The following is a 15,489-nucleotide window of genomic DNA, read 5'->3' on the forward strand; positions in this document are numbered from 1 at the left end:
TGATCAATGTTTTTACTTATATTTTTGCCTTGGCCTCAGCAGTGCTCTCCCACTTCGTCTTCCCTCCTTTCTAGTGCTTCTCGCCTGAAAGCTTTTCCACGTGCGTGCCGTGTTCAGTGAGAACTCTGATTCATGCTCTTCAGCCAGAAGCCTTCGTAGTCAGCCCTGCCCACGCACTTCCTGCCTTGCCCTGTCCCCAGAGGCCATGGTATTGGAAGCAGCTTCCTGGAAGCAAGCTTAGATTATGCGAAGCAGTTTATTCCGGACTCTTTAGACCAATTGCACCAGAGCATAAAGGTGTTGTCACCTACTGCTATCCCTCCGAATACCTTAGTGACATGACCTATAAATTCTTTTAGGCACACCAAAGACATTACAGAAAGAAGAATGAAAGAAAGGCATGGTTCTGCAGCCTCCTGGAGGATGGCAGCCTGTTGTGACTAGACTCCTCAGGGTTTCAGTCCATTAGAGCTGGTCCCAGAGGGGACCCCTGCTGGCCAGCCCTGTGTTGGACTCTTGCTCTCCGAGGCCACCTAGGGGATTCACTAGAGAGCCCATTTGGGATTGAAGAGCACGCGTGTTGACTAGAGTGGGTTGCAGCATGGGCCGCAGCCTGTTTAAACACTGCCTAGGGAAGATTGGTGGAGTCCGCCTCCTCCCTTCTGCCTCGTAGGTCCGCAGAGTCGTGCTGGGCTCACCGCTCCTTCCCTTTCTGGGCGGGAGCGCCCCTCTCACTGGTAGGGGAGCTCCCTGGGAAATGTGGTCTCCTTTCTACCAGTGCACTGAGGGGTGGGGTGGGGAGAGCTTAACTGTGGAAAGAATGCGAACTGGTTTAGTTCTGGCTTTGCCACTTCTTAGAAATGTAACTCTGGACAAATTACTATTTAAACTTTTAAAATTTGTACATGCAAATGAGAGTTAATGGACAGAATAAAAGTATATAAAGCATTTGCACCAGGGAGGCCATGGTGGTTGGTCATCAGATCCTTACTTCCCATCCCTTTCTGTCCCTTATCCCTTCCTCTCCCTCATGGTTGAGGTGGTGGAGGCCCCTCCCAGAACATTCTGCCCAGGAGTCTTGCTGCCTTAAGCCCCTCCCCATCCTGCCTTATCTCTGGTTTTATCCTCTTGCGGGGATAACTGCATTCCTGACTCTTCCTCTATTAATTGACCTACTTGAAGTGTAATACTTTTAGAGAGAAGTAGGGGCTTAACTCTGTCCTTAACAGGCCTCTCGAGGATATTATCTCTCATCATCATGTTCCCTTTAACAAGGGAGTTGTCTGTGTGTATGACAAATTGCAAATGAGGACCCCCCACCGTCAGGCTGGGGACTAAAACTGTAGCTCAGCTGTTGTCGTTTCACAGATCTCACGTGCCATGTGTGTTTCCTGAGTTAACTTGGGGACCGTGATACAGAGCGATGCGGAGATGGCTCTGAAGGACAGGCAGGTGCCAGGCGAGGGATGGAAGTGCTGCTTCTAAGTCAGAAAGTGGAAGGTGTGATGTGTTAAAGAATGGAAAGCTAAATTTGGAGGTGACGATGAGGAACCCACCGTATGCTCGCCATATGCAACTAGGAAGAGTTGTAAAATCCTGCTCCAGCCAAATTGGAAAGTGCTGATCAAGGGGGAAACGATCAATAACAGATTGGAGGGGGACGGCCACTTCAAAGTGTCTGCGGTACTTGATTTCATTTTGCAGGGGAAACCATATGTCACAGTGGTGTTCATGAATTTGGGTGTTCACAAGGGCTTCTGTACAGCTCCCTCCCAAATGTCCGCGATTTACTTGTTGGTATGACACATAATGGAGATTTTTTTAAAATGGACATACGAAGCACATAACGTCAAGTTCACCATTTTAAAGTGTACAACTTGGCTGGGCGCAGTGGCTCGCGCCTGTAATCCTAGCACTTTGGGAGGCCGAGGTGGGCAGATCACCTGAGGTCAAGAGTTGGAGACCAGCCTGGCCAACATGGTGAAACCTTGTCTCTACTAAAAATATTTAAAAAATGGCCAGGCACGGTGGCTCACGCCTGTAATCCCAGCACTTTGGGAGGCCGAGGCGGGTGGATCGTGAGGTCAGGAGATCGAGACCATGGTGAAACCCTGTCTCTACTAAAAATACAAAAAATTAGCCGGGCGCAGTGGCAGGTGCCTACTGTAGTCCCAGTTACTCAGGAGGCTGAGGCAGGAGAATGGCATGAACCCGGGAGGTGGAGCTTGCAGTGAGCTGAGATCACGCCACTGCACTCCAGCCTGGGGCGACAGCGTGAGACTCCGTCTCAAAAAAAAAAAATTAGCTGGGCGTGGTGGCGGGTGCCTGTAGTCCCAGCTATTCCGGAGGCTGAGGTAAGAGAATCGCTTGAACCTGGGAGGTGGAGGTTGTAGTAAGCCGAGATCACGCCACTGCACTCCAGCCTGGGTGACAGAGCGAGACTCCATCTTAAAAAAAAAAAAAAAAAGTGTACAACTCAATTGGCTTTTAACATCTTTGCAATCTTGTGCAACTGTCATAACTGTCATAACTGTCTAGTTCCAGAACACTTTTCTTACCCCAAAGGGAAACCCAAAGCCCATCGGCAGTCATTTCTCCTCCCCCAGGCCCAGGCAGTCACCAGCCTGCCTTCTGTCTCTGGAGATGCCTGTTCTAGGTACTCCACACAAATGGAGCCATACAGTATGTGGCCTTTTGCGTCTGGGCTCTTTCCTTAGCATCTGGAATGTTTTCAAGATTCCTCCATGCTATTGCATGTATCAGTAATTTAATCCTTCTTGTGTGTGCATGTGTAGAGATAGGGTCTCGCTTTATTGCTCAGGCTGGTCTTGAACCCCTGGCTTCAAGTGATCATCCTGCTTCAGCCTCAACTCTTTCTATAGCTGAAAAACATTCCATTGTATGGCTAGTCTACATTTCTATTTTATGGGTTCATCTGTTGATGGACACTTTCATGGTTTCCACCTTTTAGCTATTTGAATAATGCCGCTATGAATATGTGCATGCTAGTGTTTGTGTGGGCCCCTGCCCACTAGTGGGGTTGCTGGGTCATATGGTGACCCTGTATTTTACCTCCCTGAGGCACTCCCAATCTATTTTCCACAGTGGCTGTACTATTTGTCCATGTCTACTAGCAGTGTATGAGGGCTCCAGTCTCTCCACATCCTGGCCAACATTTGTCACTTTCTGTATTCTTACATTGTTATTATTATGATAGTCCTAGTGGGTATGAAGTGGAATCTCATCGTGGTTTTGGTTTTCATTTCCCTGATGATTAGTGATGTTGCCATCTTTTCATGTGCTTATTGGCCATTTGGAGGAGTCTCTATTCAAGTCCTTTGTCCATTTTTTAGTTGGGTTGTTTGTCTTTATTGTTGAGTTCTATGAGTTCAAAATGGAGACTTTTAAGTTGAATAAGGTATAATTTCTGTTGTGAGGACTTGTTTCCTTTCCAAATAATATGTGTGGTGTCTGCTGAGAGCCTCATGGTAACATTTAATTCTTAAAAGAGCCTTTGTCTTGATAGATTGGTTTCATAAAACTGTTAAGAGGTTCAGCCAGGCACCGTGGCTCATGCCCGTGGGAGGCCAAGACAGGAGGATCCTTTGAGCTCAGGAGTTGGAGACCAGCCTGGGCAACATAGTGAGACCTTGTCTCTAATTAAAAAAAGAAAAGAGGTTCTTTGACTATTGACTATACTGATCATATATATACTGTATAATTTAATACCAATCCCTTAAGATTCCTGTGTGTTTTTGTTAGGAGTCTTTTGGTTTTCTTAGAGCTGTGGTCTCTCCACCTGGAGTGTATGTCGGGAGAAAGCTCCTGTCGGGGTGAGTGCAGGCAGAGTGGCCGAGGAGCTGGGCCTCTGTGAAGTCTGGGTGCAGCTTGGAGGCTCATAGTGGACTGGGAGCTTGGCAGGAGGGGCGGTGCATGTCCACACCAGTGCCCGGTCTCCGCCGTGCTGCGGCCCTGTGGGTCTCTGCTCCCCACTCAGCAGTTACGCTGCAGGACGTTCCTTCCCCTCCCTGTGTGTGAGGGCTGGGTCCTTCCTTTCTGATGTAGTCATCTTTGATGGGACTCCATCTGCTTGGGCCCAGGGGTCCCCACAGGAGCCAGCTGTGTTCACATCCTAGTGGTCCCTGGTCCTAAACCACCTCCTGACTTTCCTCTGTTGCTTCAGCTTCAGCTCTCTGCCCACTGCATTGTGTCGCTGGATTTTCAAGATTAAATTCCCCCCACAAGAGTGTTTGATGCTTCCCTGGATGGCCAGGCTGTACGGCCAGTGTTAAAAGACAGACAAGTGCCACCCAGGGGCAAGGGGAGTGTGTGGTTCAAAGTCCCTGAGAACAGATGCCAGATGCCAGGCTCAGGTGGTGCCGTTTACTTCCAGCAAGAGGAGAGAGAGGGTGCACTTGATCCAGTGCCGGGTGATGGTGGCCCCTAGGCCAGGGGGTCGCACCCTCACTTTGGGCTACAGTAGAAGGAGATTCCCCCACCCCGTGGGGTCTTAAACACAGAAAACTGGGGGCATGCCTGAGGGCCACTGATGCAGGTGCTAAGGCACAACAGAGGAGCCATGGAGGCAGAAATCGGGAAAGACCCCTCCCAGGTGAGGGCTGCACGGGCTGTGGTGAGGGTGCTCCCCTCGGTGGGCTCTCGGCCCAGCACGTGGAAGACGGCGCAGTCCACTGCCTTCCCAACCCAGAGAGGCCGATCAGCTCCGCTTAGCTTCACGTGGTCCTCCGTGTAACTGGCCCATCTGTGGGTTGGTTCTGAGGGAGTGAGGCTGCCCTCTAGAATCACCTGTGACTGGAGGGCTGGGTGGCAGGATTTAAAGCGCATAGCAGAACCGGGAGGATTACCCATGGCTTGTATAAGGAAGAGTCTCTTCTAAAGGGTTGCATGTGTGGCAGGCTCCTTAATCAACATGCTGCTTACCCCGGACTGGAACATGCCCTGAAGTCAAGTCATTTTTGTGTAGAATTTTTAATTATAAGTTTTATTTTTATAAACAAAAATCTTAGCTGAAGTCCAATAAAATCCAAGAAGAAGGCACAGATAATCAGGGAGAAGTAACTCAAGATTTGAGGAAATCAAGAGTCATAAAAGAGTGCTTTGCAAAACTTTGCAGATAAATTGGAAAACTTGTATGCGATGCATAATTTTCTAGGAAAATATAAATGACCATAATTGACCTCAGAAAAGATAGTAAAGAAAAATAAATGGATAAACATAGAAGAAAGAGAAAGTTACCAAACCATTCCTCTTCTAATCCTCCTCCCTCTGAAGGATTTCAAACTTGAAAAGAACACAAAATTATTGAAGACTTCTTTCTGTTGTAGGAAGATCTCTAAAACATAGTTTCTTTATCTATTAATTTAGAGACAGAGCCTTGCTCTGCCATCCAGGCTGGAGTGCAGTGGCATGATGTTGGCTCACTGCAGCCTCCATCTCCTGGGCCCAAGTGATTCTCCTGCCTCAGCCTCCCGAATAGCTGGGACTGCAGGCACATGCCACCACACCTGGCTAATTTTTGTATTTTTAGTGGAGACAGGGTTTCACTATGTTGGCCAGGCTGGCCTCAAAGTCCTGACCTCAAGTGATCTGCCTGCCTTGGCCTCCCAAAGTGCTGGGATTATAGGTATGAGCCATATTTTTTGTTTTTTTTAAATTTATTTTTATTGATTTGTTTTTATATTTTTAGAGGGGTCTTGCTTTGTTGCCCAGGCTAGAGTTCAGTGATGCAGTCAGCTTACTGCAGCCTCAACCTCCTGGGCTCACGCTATCCTCTTGCCATATCCTTTTGAGTAGCTGGGACTACAGATGTGTGCCACCATGCCCAGCTAATTTTTAATTTTTTTTTTTTTTTGTAGAGGTGGTGTCTTGCTTTGTCACTCAGGCTGGAGTGCGGTGGTGTGATCATGGCTCATTAACCTCGAATTCCTGGGCTGAAGTGATCCTCCTGCCTCAGCCTCAGGAGTATGTAGGACTACAGGTGTGAGCCACAGTGCCAGCTTAAAATACGTCAAATTTAAAATGCAAAAGAAGAAAGTGTATTCAACAGGTTTAGTGTATGCACATATGACTGATGGAGTCAGCCGTTCCTGCTTGTCATATGTAATGTGTGTAGCTGGGTGTGGCATATGTGTACATGGGTGGGTAGATCCCTAGATAGATGGAGGGCAAGTCGGTGGATCTGCCCCTCCTCCACTCACTCAGATGCCTTAGAGTGAACACGGAAGGGAGACATCAGCCTGTGGCCTCCTTAGTCGTTCTCATTTTCCTTCGCCTCTTGGTGTCTTGCTGTGTTGACTGATTCTAGTTTTGAAAGCAGCATATTGGGTCAAAATACATTTTTTTTTCTTTGAGACAGAGTCTTGCTCTGTCACCCAGGCTGGGGTGCAGTAGCGCAATCTCGGCTCACCGCAACCTCTGCCTCCCAGGTTGAAGCGATTCTCCTGTCTCAGCCTCCCGAGTAGCTGAGATTACAGGCATGTGCCACCACACCCGGCTAATTTTTGTATTTTTAGCAGAGATGGAGTTTCACCATGTTGGTCAGGCTGGTCTCAAACTCCTTGTAGGTGAGCCACCCGCCTTGGCCTCCCAAAGTGCTGGGATTACAGGTGTGAGTCAACACGCCCGGCCTCAGAATACATTTTAAATCAGGTCTGTACTGACTTCAGAATCTAACTCCAGAATAAAATTTGATTCTAAGGGGCAACAGTACCACAAATGAGGCGAAGCACAGAACATCTGTCACCGTGACTTGGGGCAGATGCAGAATGGGACTTTCACCTTTTTACACAAAACCCTTCTATGTGCCTTCTGTTTTAAAACCATGATTTTTTTTACTTTAATAATAGGCAACTAATTTAAAATACCTATTCACCATGTGTCATCTCAGAGTAGGAAGGGGACTGTGAGGCAGACGGAGCCACTTGGGACTTTTGCCTTTGGGTTGTGACATTTGTCTGTAGGTTCTTTCACTTCTGTCCATCTCATTTGTTTCTGTGCCATGCGTGTGACATGATGAGCTGGAAAGACTTTGCATGGGGCCCACGTGAGTGCTCACATCGAAGGGGCAAGTGTTAATCACCCTCTAGTTGACAGAGCTGTTTCAGGGATGGCTAGTTCCTCTGTCCGGAACACTTGTATTGAGTGGCAGGGAGCCGCGGGGACACTGCCCATAGCGGTGGGAGAGCAAGCAGGAGGGGCTCTGCCCAGGGCTGTTTCCTTTGCCTTTGTTTACCAGCATAAAGTATTAAAACAGCTAAATTATCATGGGCATTTTAATCCAATTTCTCAGCGTTTCGTCATTTGAAGAATAGAAGTCTCTTTGTTTTCACAGCCCTGTTCTTGCTTGTTTAAATTTGAATATATTTCTATTCATTCAGCTGATAGAAATTCTTTACTTTTAAACTGAGGGAGAAAAAAGAACAGATTGACTAGGGATCAGAATGTGATTTCAGTGGGTCTTTATTGGGCCCTTGTTAGGGAGGGGTTTGGACCTGGGGACTTGGAGTCTACACTGATGGCAGAAGCAAGCTCCAGAAAAGAGCAGGCTCCAGCTTTGCAAGGTAAACCTTGGAGAGTGTAGTTAGGGTGACAGCCAGCACCTCTCCCTGCTGAGTGGAGAGGGAATCCAGATTTTTAGGATCTTATAACCTGATATTTTTCATGCCTTTGACTCCTGTCTTGGTCTGTTAGGTCTTGGCTTTTGATAGCCAAAGTAACCAGCTGACTTTCCTTCTTTTTTTTTGAAATCTCCTTTACTTTTTCACAAGGCTGTTTCTCAGTGTGAATATGTTGCTTTCATATTCCCAGAGCACTCACTGAATGCATAAAGGCTAAGCAATGCAGCAGTGATACTACTAACCAGCTCTTAGTTTACTGGGTGACCTTTGGCTGGTTCTGTCGAGTGGCCACTCTACCTCCAGTTTGCCCTGTCTGGAGATGCAGCCAGGACTGTAGATTCCCAGGGGAGGGCTGACTTACTGGGGCATTTATTTACTGGATAGGGGAGTTTTTAATCTTTTAGTTGGAATATTTAGTCCATTTACATTTAATGTAGTTATTGATACACTGTGTATCTGGGGTTAAATCCACCACCCTCCTATTTATTTTAGTTTTGTCTCACCTGTTCTTTATTTTTTCTCTTTTCTTGATTTCTTTTGCATTAAGCAGTTTAAAAAATTATTCCATTTTCTCCTTCTATTAGTGATGTATCAGAGAATACATAAGCTACATATTTGTTTCGTGGTAACCCTAATAAATTACTACATACCCTTACTGTGAGAAGTGTTGAAGTTAGCACTTGCACCACTTGGCCAGACAGTGCAAGAATCTTGATGCATTTAACCCTCCTACCCACCCCCCTTTACTTTGCATGGTGTCAACATCATGGGGTTGGAGTTTCTATGTGGATTTTAAACCCCACAGTATACAGTCAATATTTATTTAGATTTATCTGCTTCTTTACACTTATTAATGTTCTTTATTCTTTCCTGCATTTCTGTCCTTCTGTTCAGGGTCATGTTTCTTCAACCTGAAAAACATCCTTTAATATTTCTTTTAGGGTGAGGCTGCCAACAACAATTTAGTTTCTGCATATTTTACCTCTATTTCATTTTTGAAGGATATTTTTGCTGTGTGTAGAATTCTATGTCAACTTTTTTTTAAGTTTAAAGGTGTTTTTCCCTTCATCTCCTTTCTGTTAAAACGTCACACTGACTGTAAGTCTTAATATTGGTGCTTTGAAAGTTCCCTCCCCGCACCCCCCTGTCCAGCTGATTTGGTTTGTATTACTTTACGGAGATGTTCTTAGCTGTGGACTACTTCATATGTATCCTTTTTGGTGCTCCTTGAACCTGTGGCTTGATGTTTCTAAGTACTATCACTTAAGACACTGGTTCTCTGCCATTCTGTCTCCCCTGCTGACGCTCATTGGAATAGGTTAGACCTTTTCACCATGTCCTGTACATTTCTCATGTTCTGTTCCGAGTTTTTTTCTTGCTGTAGGTCACTGATCCTCTCCTTTGCTGTGGGGCACAGTCTGCTGTTTAGCCAACCTACCAAATTCTTGATTCCATTGTATTTTTCTATTCTGTGATTTCCATTCGATTCTTTATCAATTCCAGTTCTCTGGTGAAAATTTTCACCTTGTTATCTCTTTTCTTGTACACATCAGCTTTCAGTTCTAGCCCTCCTTACATCAACATCTTTGAAATGGGGGGTGTGTGTTGCCATCAGTCTGACTGCTGCTGATGGCCTGGACTCAGCTGTTGCTGTCAGCACAGTGTGGACTTGAGGGCATGACTAGACAGAGGCCAGTATTTGTGCCGAGAGCCACAGGGCTCACCCGTGGAGGGAATCTGAGTCCCGATTGTGGAATGGTGGTGGCAGCATCACGTCCTGCAGGCTGGAGCCCATGAGTGGTCCCCGAGAGATTGCCTCCGAGCGCTGTTAGGAGAGGGAAGAGCTGCACTCATGCACACAGGGTGACCCTGGGTGAAATGTAGGCTCCATGGCTCCGAGGGGGAAGTGGGCTCAGAAGAGTGGGCTTCTGATCTGAATCCAAGAAGGGTTAGGAATACCTTAGCCAGTTTCTGTGGCTGCTTTTTTTCTTTTGAAACAGGCTCTCGCTCTGTCACCCAGGCTGGGGTGCAGTGGTGCAATCACGGGTCACCGCAGCCTCGACCTCCTGGGCTCAAGTGATCCTCCCACCTCAGCCTCCTGAGTAGCTGGGACTACAGGTATGCGACACCATACCTGGCTAATTTTTATTTTTATTTATTTATTTTTTTTCAGTTGGAGTTTCTCTCTGTCGCCAGGCTGGATACAGTGGCACGATCTTGGCTCACTGCAACCTCTGCCACCTGGGTTTAAGCAATTCTCCTGCCTCAGCCTCCCAAGTAGCTGGGACTACGGGCACGCACCAGCACACTCGGCTAATTTCTGTATTTTTAGTAGAGATGTGGTTTCACCATGTTGGCCAGGCTGGTCTCAACCTCTTGACCTCGTGATCCGCCCCTTGGTCTCCCAAAGTGCTGAGATACAGGCGTGAGCCACTGCGCCCGGACCATCTGGCTAATTTAAAAAATTTTTTTGTAGAGATAAGGTCTTGCTCTGTTGCTCAGGCTGGTCTCAAACTCCAGGGCTTAAGCAATCCTCCTGCCTTGGCCTCCCAAAGTGCTGGGATTTGAGCATGAACCACCGTGCCTGGCCTGCAGGTAATATTCTTTTGTGTATATATAAGAATTTAAATGAGGCCGGGCGTGGTGGCTCATGCCTGTAATCCCAGCACTTTGGGAAGCCGAGGTGGGCGGATCATCTGAGGTCAGGAGTTCGAGACCAGTCTGGCCAACGTGGTGAAACCCTGTCTCTACTAAAAATGCAAAAATTAGCTGGGCATGGTGGTGGGCGCCTGTAATCCCAGTTACTCAGGAGGCTGAGGTAGGAGAATTGCTTGAACCCAGGAGATGGAGGTTGCAGTGAGCCGAGATCGCACCACTGCACTCCAGCCTGGGCGGCAGAGCGAGACTGTGTCTCAAAAAAAAAAAAAAAAAGAATGATAAATGAGAAACATGTCTGAGTAAGTTGATAATAGCTCTTCTTACTAAGTATCAGATAAAAATTCCAAAGAGAAAGTGTTGTGTCGTGTCATGTCATAGTTTAATTGGCAGTTTTTTCCTTAGTGACATAGAAGACAGTGATGGATCGTACAACCTTTGGCACCTTAGAGTTTATGAAAAAGTAGCATCTGTTCTATAGAAATTATGGCCACACTCTGAGGAGCAGAGTTGGGGACAAGAGTGGAAGGAAGAGTCTGATGGTGACACGGTCTCCTGCAGGTCTTCCCAGAGCCCCATTCACCACCCATGATCACTCCCTGCCCCGTTTCCCATTTTCTTTATATTCTACCCTTTTGCGGCAAGGGACTAACAAGGGCCATGCATGCCTGGCAACACAGGCGGTCCCATCCTTCGCTCAAGCCCTAAGTGACCCCTGCTGGCCGCACTCAATGGTAACTGACTGCTGGAAGGATGGTCAGCCACTGTCCCCAATGCAGGCAGCCCCTTGGTCCCCCCATTCCCATCGTTCCCCACCCCATCTCCCCACCCTTCTCTCAGCAGGAGCCTCCCCCATACCACCCCAAGTCAGCTTCCTAAAATGCCCTGTGGCTCTGGCTCACCTGCTGGAAACAAGGCAAGGTCAAGGTCAAGCTCCAACCCCCACCCCCAGCCCAGCTGCCCTTGGGGGTTTTCCTCTCCCTCTGCTGCGTTTCCTTCTCTTGGGCCTGCTCATCTTTCTCGGGCTCTTTTTCTTCTTTGTCTAAGTCTTACTGCCGACCTACCACACTTAAGGTTCTCTTCTGCTGCCATCTTCTGTCGGCCCTGGCCCCTGAGCACGGGACCAGGATTGGAAGTGGCAGGGGTTGAGGGAGTTGAGTTAGGGTGTAAGCGTGGCTGACTTGGTGAAATCTTAAGATTTGGGGGAGATCTGAAGTGCCTTGCTCTCAATGTCAGTATTGATTGTGGATGGGTTAGGAGGAGGAGAAAAATTCCAAGTCTCAGCACAAGGCGGGTGGCTGTGAGGAGCAGATGCAGTTCACTATTGCAGAGTCGGAGCCGGAGAGGCAGAGGTGGAGGCCGCTGACGCCAGGCCAGCTCTCTAGGTCTCAGCAGAGGAGTCGCGCGGGAGCCCCAGGACTCACTCTCCTTGCTCCTAGCAGGCCTCAACTAACAACCCTTCTCCACCACGGTGTTGAGCCGTTGATGGGGGTGATATGAGCTTGTAGATGAGTTGGGGAGACCTGGTGTTTTGCACCCGTGGCAGTGGCACGCTTCTTGGGCTGTTCTGCTCTGCTTTTTATGTCCGCCGATAAGGTCGGAGAGTCTCTCCCCGGCGCTCCTATGCACATCTTGTTAAGTTTCTTCTTAGAGCTTCTGTTGCTGCTGGGAAAGGGATCCCCCACCACCCCCCGCCCCCTTTCTTAGTGGGTTCTTAGGATGGCGCATGAGAGAGTTGCTCTTTATTGCCTCCTGGTTCTCCCAGTATGGGTTTTTATCCATCCAGTGGTTCCAAGACAGTGGCTGTGATGAACGGAGTTGCCGCGAGTCTCGTGGCATTTGGACCCTGCACCGCTCGAGATTCACTGCGCTGCACACCAGGGCCTCGGTAATTCAGTCAAAACAACAGATTTAGAGGTGTACAGAAAGGGCCATTCTATTTTCCATTTTGTATATTTCATGTCTCTTTAAATCTCTTAAAGCTTAGAACACCCGTTTTTCATATGCCTTTCTAAAAACTTTTTTCCAGGCGATTTTTAGATGCTATTTATGTGTAGTAAAATGCGTAGATCTTGAGTGTTTAGTCTGATGAGTTTTGACAGTTGTATCCTCCTGCTTAATCACACTCAAAGCAAGATGGAGATCATTTCCACTCCCCAGAAAGCTCCCTCAGCCCCCTTTCCAGTCAGTTTCTCCTGGCCGAGGCCAGCCGCCTTCTGCCTCCTATCACCAGAGGCTAGTTTTGCCCATGGAACTGAACGCCCCGATGAGTTCGTCTTGTCTGCTGCACAGACAAAACCAATTCACGGAGGCTGCAATATTGTAGTAAAGAAAGAATTTAACTCAAAGCCTTGCAGGTGGAAGGACGGGAGTTTTATTATTACTCAAATCAGCCCCTCTGAGAACTCAGAGACTAGGGTTTTTATGGATAATTTGGTGGGCGGGGCTAGGGAGTGGGTGCTGCTGATTGGTTGGGGGGTGAAGTCATGGGGTGGGGAAAATGGTCTTCTGCACTGAGTCTGCCTCTGGGTGGGGCCACAGGATGGGTCCAGGTGGGGTCAGTTGGTTGCCAGAACGCAAAACTCTGAAAAACATCTCCAGTCTTAGGTTTTGTAATGTGTTGTTTTCTACAGGAGCAATTGGGGAAGTCGCAAATTTTATAACCTGGCCACGACTCCCGAGCAGCAAGGAATTATAGAAAGGCAAGCTAGGGATGATGGCTGGGTATCATTAGTGACATCTACATCTTAGCAGAATTCAGGCCCCTCACATAATCCTAATCTCATGGCCTTTCATAGTCTTACAAAGGTGGTTTCAGTCCCTGAACCAGGAGGGGACCAGTTTTAGGGAGGGACTGTTATCATCCTTGCTTTAAAGTTCAACTGCAAACTAAATTCCTCCCATGGTTAGCTGTGCCTGCATCCGGGAATGGGTGAGGGCAGCCGCCTGTGAGGTTAGGAGGGAGGTGGAATCAGCCTTGCCAGCCTTTTCTCCCTGTCATAATCTTGCCCAGGTGGCCTCACTTATTTTTTACCTTTTTCTACAGTGACCACATGTGATGTATTCTTTTGCTCTTGCGTTTGGCCTCGTTCACTCAGGGTGAGGCTTCTGAGACTCGTCCGGGCGGCAGCTCATTGCTGGGTGTCCCGGAGCCTGCACATCCACGCAGGGTGCATCCACCCTCCCTCTCCCACAGGTTCACGCTGCACCTGTTTCCAGTGACTGGCTTTTAGGGATAAAGCTGCCATGAGTGTTGGGGTGCAAGTCTTGTGTGGACCATATATTTTTATTTCTCTTGAGTGTATGGGATTGCAGGTCATTGGGTGGTTGTATGTTTCCAGTTACATTTTGCAAGCCACTCTAAATTGACAAAAATGACAAAAATCATCTCTTTCTTTGCAAAGCCAGGCAATCTGCAGAGGAATCTTTATTTACAGTTTCCTCCAGCACTCTGGAGACATGGAAGCGTAGGCATCAGTGAGCTGGGAGGTATTTGGTTGTCTTTGAATGAATTATTAGGTGAGATATTGACATTATTTCCCCTCAAACAGTCCACATTCCTGAATGGCAGGGAGTGAAGGCAGCCTGTGCTTATGTTTGTGCTTATTATGGAGTGTGCACGTGGATCTATTTACCGTGTGGAAAATAATAGAATGAATTGCTTTTACACATTACTGGGCTTAAGAAATGGAAGGTGACATAGCCTTTGAAACCCCCTCTGAGCCCCTCCCCAGTCACAGTCCCCTCTGTCTTCCTGAGCTCACCCTGTCCTGATTGGGCCTTGTGCCTTCCTCTGCTTGAGACTGGTTCTGTGCGTGTGCGTGTGTGCAAGCAGGTGTGTGCACAAGATGGGCTGGCCTGCCCTGCTTTGGCACGGAAGCATCCTCCGCTGGGTGTTTGTTCTGAGGCTCATCTCACAAGGATCTGGGTCCTCAGGCTCCCACTGCTCTGCATCTTCCCCGTGACAGCCGCGTGGGCATTTGCTCTTGACCCTGTGGTGGCTGAGACAGAAACCTTGGAGGAGTCACTCACTTCTGTTGGAGCAAAATGCAGGCCTCCTCCAGGGCTGCGTCTGGGAGGGACTTGGGTGGTGGAGTGTTTATGACTTAGCGCAGAGGGCTCTTACGTGCAAACCATCTTGGCTGTGGAGCGCCCTGTTGCCTGGAAGGTCTGCCTTCTCATGGGGGCTGGGCTTCCAGACTCCTGAAATGTGCTGTGAGGCTTCCTATTCTTTCTTAATGATTAAAAATACGATTTCTTCTTTAATGCCCAGCACAAATGCATTTAGCTGTGTTTATTTTTTTCCCTAAGTAACAGAAGCAATCCTGAGAAAATAATTCTTACACTCAGTATTGATTCTCTGCTTCATGTGCTAGGGTGTTCCCCCTCCCACTGAAGTTGCTGCTGCTTCACCCTCTCCTCCTCGATGGCCTACCATCCTGCAGCCTCGCTCCCTGCGCCTGCCCCCTTCTCCTTCTCCTCCTTCCCCTTTCAGTGCTTGCTCTTCCCTCCTTTCCTTCTTCTCTTCCTCACCCCACTCTTCCCCCTTTTCTCCTCCTGCCTCTCTTTCCACCTCCTCCTCCGTCCCTGCTGGTCTCCTAAGAAGCACTTAGTAGCACTCAGAATCCTTGACCTTGGCAGGCTTGGGAAGTGTTGGTTAATGAAGGGATGTGAAGACGAAGGGAGTCTGAGTCTCCAAAGGAATCATGGCTGTTGGGAGTTTGCTTGATTAGGAGATGGGCCGTTTATTACAATGTGAGTTGTTAACTCTAAAGTGCCTGAGATAAATTTATAGTGTTTATTTGCTTCAGAAGGAGTTGGATTTTTTCTTACAAAGTGAAATATACTTTTCTAAATTTTATGTTTATATAAACATAATTTATGTTGTTATAGTTTTAATCTGCATTACTCCTCAAAAGGAACAAAAATGTTTTGGCTTTTTTCTCCCTGAGCTGCAGAGACCTTTTTCTCCTGCTTCTGTCCTCTGTATTCTCCCCACCCCTTTCTCCCTCCTTTCTTCCCTCTTTTTAATCTGTCAATTAAAATATTTGAAAGGATATCACTGAGATCTTTGGGCAAGGACTTTACCTGTTTTTGCTGTTGTCAACCGAGGGTGCGGTGGCTCCTCCCACCTGCTGTCTCTGGTTTTTACTGGGCTTCCTCTCCATTATCCTAATTAGGTGGTTTGCCGGTTGTT

General features: G+C 47.8%; 1 protein-coding gene across 2 annotated transcripts in view, besides 2 other annotated features; it reads left to right on the top strand.

The window, feature by feature from the left end:
- The window catches only part of RPTOR (regulatory associated protein of MTOR complex 1), a 421,531-nt gene that overhangs the window by 104,882 nt on the left and 301,160 nt on the right, over positions 1–15,489 (top strand). The window lies entirely within an intron of this gene.
- Positions 11,187–11,687: an enhancer, noted in NCBI's record as "H3K4me1 hESC enhancer chr17:78634706-78635206 (GRCh37/hg19 assembly coordinates)". NCBI's record gives its function as "activates a minimal SCP1, AML or CMV promoter by ChIP-STARR-seq in naive H9 embryonic stem cells {active_cell/tissue: H9 hESC(naive)}" and the evidence as "EXISTENCE:reporter gene assay evidence [ECO:0000049][PMID:30033119]".
- Positions 11,688–12,188: an enhancer, noted in NCBI's record as "H3K4me1 hESC enhancer chr17:78635207-78635707 (GRCh37/hg19 assembly coordinates)". NCBI's record gives its function as "activates a minimal SCP1, AML or CMV promoter by ChIP-STARR-seq in naive H9 embryonic stem cells {active_cell/tissue: H9 hESC(naive)}" and the evidence as "EXISTENCE:reporter gene assay evidence [ECO:0000049][PMID:30033119]".

Source organism: Homo sapiens, chromosome 17 (assembly GCF_000001405.40).
Source record: "Homo sapiens chromosome 17, GRCh38.p14 Primary Assembly".
In the NCBI taxonomy this organism is placed as follows: domain Eukaryota; kingdom Metazoa; phylum Chordata; class Mammalia; order Primates; family Hominidae; genus Homo; species Homo sapiens.